The 3,421-nt window shown below is 46.7% G+C and overlaps 1 annotated feature.

Moving 5' to 3' along the window:
- Nucleotides 629-1,219: an enhancer, noted in NCBI's record as "H3K4me1 hESC enhancer chr22:35419897-35420488 (GRCh37/hg19 assembly coordinates)". NCBI's record gives its function as "activates a minimal SCP1, AML or CMV promoter by ChIP-STARR-seq in primed H9 embryonic stem cells {active_cell/tissue: H9 hESC(primed)}" and the evidence as "EXISTENCE:reporter gene assay evidence [ECO:0000049][PMID:30033119]".

Raw genomic sequence — 3,421 nt, forward strand, 5'->3', positions numbered from 1 at the left:
TCACAGTTTCCTAGCCCTGCCATAACAAACGACCACAAATTGGGAGGCTTAAACCAGCTTATTTTTATTCTCTCACAGTTCTGGAGGCTAGCAGCCTGAAATTGAGGTGTTGGCAGGGCCACGCTCCCTCTGAAGGATCAGGGAAGGATCTTTCCTTGTCTCTTCCAGTTTTTGGGTTCCCTTGCTCATGGCAGCATCACACCAATCACTGCCCCATCTTCACATGGCATTTTTTTTTTTTTTTGAAACAGAGTCTTGCTCTGTCGCCCAGACTAGAGTGCAATGGTGCAATCTTGGCTCACTGCAACCTCTGCCACCTGGGTTCAAGCAATTCTCCTGCCTCAGCCTCCCAAGTAGCTGGAATTACAGGCGCCTGCCACCATGCCCAGCTAATGTTTTGTATTTTGAGTAGAGACGGGGTTTCACCATGTTGGCCAGGCTGGTCTCAAACTCCTGACCTCAGGTGATCCACCTGCCTCTGCGTCCCAAAATGTTGGGATTATAGGCGTAAGCTACTGCGCCCGGCCCTTGACACAGTATATGTGTCTCTCTGTGTCCCCTCCTCTTATAAGGACACCAGTCATTGAATTTAGGATCTACCCTTCCCCCACCAAGGGAGGCCATGGGCAGGTCTTCCTTTCTCACAGTCTGTGCCTGTGTTTCCCCTCCTGCAAGCATGACCTTCCTGGTCCCCGGGCCCCAGGTGTTCTGGGAATATCCTGGGGCTGACCTCAGGCAGGAGAAAGGAGTTTGCTTCCCTGACATTTTTTATTCTGGATTAACCCAGCGAATCTTTGGGGACTGCGAGGGCACGGACACGGTAGAATCCCAGGTGGAAGAAGGCAAAGTGGGCGGGAGGGGAGAACTTGCATGTTTTAACCTTTTTCCTGCACCCAACCCCGCCATCCGACGCCAAGCTTCCAGTCAAACCTGAGACCACAGCTCCCCCTGGCGGTCAGCGCGAGCCCGCACCGCGGCTCTCCTGTGCTCACGCAGCCCTGCGCGGCGGAGGTGGCTGGAAATGAATTTAGCGTCAGCACAGTTATTTAAATTGTTTTAATTAATCACAGATTGAGCAGTAAATGAACCACTAAGTGGAGAGAGCGCGCGGGAGCAAGCGAGAAAGAGGTGAGGGGAGGAAGGCAGAGCCTAGGTGATGGCTCGAAAAAGCACAGACAGCTTCAGAGTGGGGCAGGAGGAGGGGGTACAGGCACAGGTCGCAGAGCTGTGCCCCCCACTCCTGGTGCCACACGTTGGGGCGGGGGGCATTCCAGCCCCAGTGGGGTTAGAAGGAGCGCAGAGCCTTGGGGCTAGGGCCTGCCTTCTCCCTTGACAAAAACGTTGAAAGGGGCCGGGCGCGGTGGCTCAAGCCTGTAATCCTAGCACTTTGGGAGGCCGAGGGGGGCGGATCACGACGTCAGGAGATCGAGACCATCGTGGCTAACACGGTGAAACCCCGTCTCTACTAAAAATACAAAAAATTAGCCGGACGTGGTGGCAGGCACCTGTAGTCCCAGCTACTCGGGAGGTTGAGGCAGGAGAATGGTGTGAACCCGGGAGGCAGAGCTTGCAGTGAGCCAAGATTGCGCCACTATACTCCAGCCTGGGTGACAGAGCGAGACTCCGTCTCAAAAAAAAAAAAAAAAAAGGTTGGAAGGTTGGCTAAAGAGAAGACAAAGCAGGAAGGGGGAGTAAACTTAGTAAATTTTTTTATTATTATTATACTTTAAGTTCTGGGATGCATGTGCAGAACGTGCAGGTTTGTTACATAGGGATACATGTGCCATGGTTTGCTGCACCCATCAACCTGTCATCTACATTAGGTATTTCTCCTAATGCTGTCCCCCGCCCAGCCCCACTCCCCAACAGGTCCCCAGGTGTGATGTTCCCCTCCCTGTGTCCATGTGTTCTCACTGTTCAGCTCCCACCTATGCGTGAGAACATGCAGTGTTTGGTTTTCTGTTCCTGTGTGAGTTTGCTGAGAATGATGGTTTCCAGCTTCATCCACGTCCCTGCAAAGGACATGAACTCATCCTTTTTTATGACTGCATAGTATACCATGGTGTATATGTGCCACATTTTCTTTATCTAGTCTGTTATTGATGGGCATTTGGGTTGGTTCCAAGTCTTTGCTATCGTGAATAGTGCTGCAATAAACATATGTGTGCATGTGTCTTTATAGAATGGTTTATAATCCTTTAGGTATATACCCAGTAATGGGATTGCTGGGTCAAATGGTATTTCTGGTTCTAGATCCTTGAGGAATCGCCACACTCTTCCACAATGGTTGAACTAATTTACACTCCCACCAACAGTGTAAGAGCATTCCTATTTCTTCACATCCTCTCCAGCATCTGTTGTTTCCTGACTTTTTAATGATCACCATTCTAACTGGCATGAGATGGTGTCTCATTGTGGTTTTGTCTGCATTTCTCTAATGACCAGTGATGATGAGGTTTTTTTCATATGTTTGTTGGCTGCATAAATTTCTTCTTTTGAGAATTGTCTGTTCAAATCCTTTGCCCACTTTTTGATGAGGTTGGTTTTTTTCTTGTAAATTTAAGTTCCTTGTAGATTCTGGATATTAGCCCTTTGTCAGATGGATAGATAGCAGAAATTTTCTCCCATTCTGTAGGTTGTCTGTTCACTCTGATGATAGTTTCTTTTGCTATGCGGAAGCTCTTTAATTAGATCCCATTTGTCAATTTTGGCTTTTGTTGCAATTGCTTTTGGTGTTTTAGTCACAAAGTCTTTGCCAATGCCTATGTCCTGAATGGTATTGCCTAGGTTTTCTTCAAGGGTTTTTATGGTTTTAGGTCTTACATTGAAGTCTTTAATCCATCTTGAGTTAATTTTTTTATAAGGTGTAAGGAAGGGGTCCAGTTTCAGTTTTCTGCATATGGCTAGCCAGTTTTCCCAACACCACTTATTAAATAGGGAATCCTTTCCCCATTGTTTGTTTTTGTCAGGTTTGTCAAAGATCAGATGGTTGTAGATGTGTGGCATTATTTCTAAGGCCTCTGTTCTGTTCCATTGGTCTATATACCTGTTTTGGTACCAGTACCATGCTGTTTTGGTTACTGTAGCCTTGTAATATAGTTTGAAGTCAGGTAGCGTGATGCCTCCAGCTTTGTTCTTTTGCTTAAGGTTGTCTTGGCTATACAGGCTCTTTTTTGGTTCCATATGAAATTTAAAGTAGCTTTTTCTAATTCTGTGAAGAAAGTCATTAGTAGCTTGATGGGGATAGCATTGAATCTATAAATTACTTTGGGGCAGTAAGGCCATTTTCATGATATTGATTCTTCCTAACCATGAGCAGGGAATGTTTTTCCATTTGTTTGTGTCCTCTCTTATTTCCTTGAGCAGTGGTTTGTAGTTCTCCTTGAAGAGGTCCTTCACATCCTTGTAAGTTGTATTCTAG

This window comes from Homo sapiens, chromosome 22 (genome assembly GCF_000001405.40).
Source record: "Homo sapiens chromosome 22, GRCh38.p14 Primary Assembly".
In the NCBI taxonomy this organism is placed as follows: domain Eukaryota; kingdom Metazoa; phylum Chordata; class Mammalia; order Primates; family Hominidae; genus Homo; species Homo sapiens.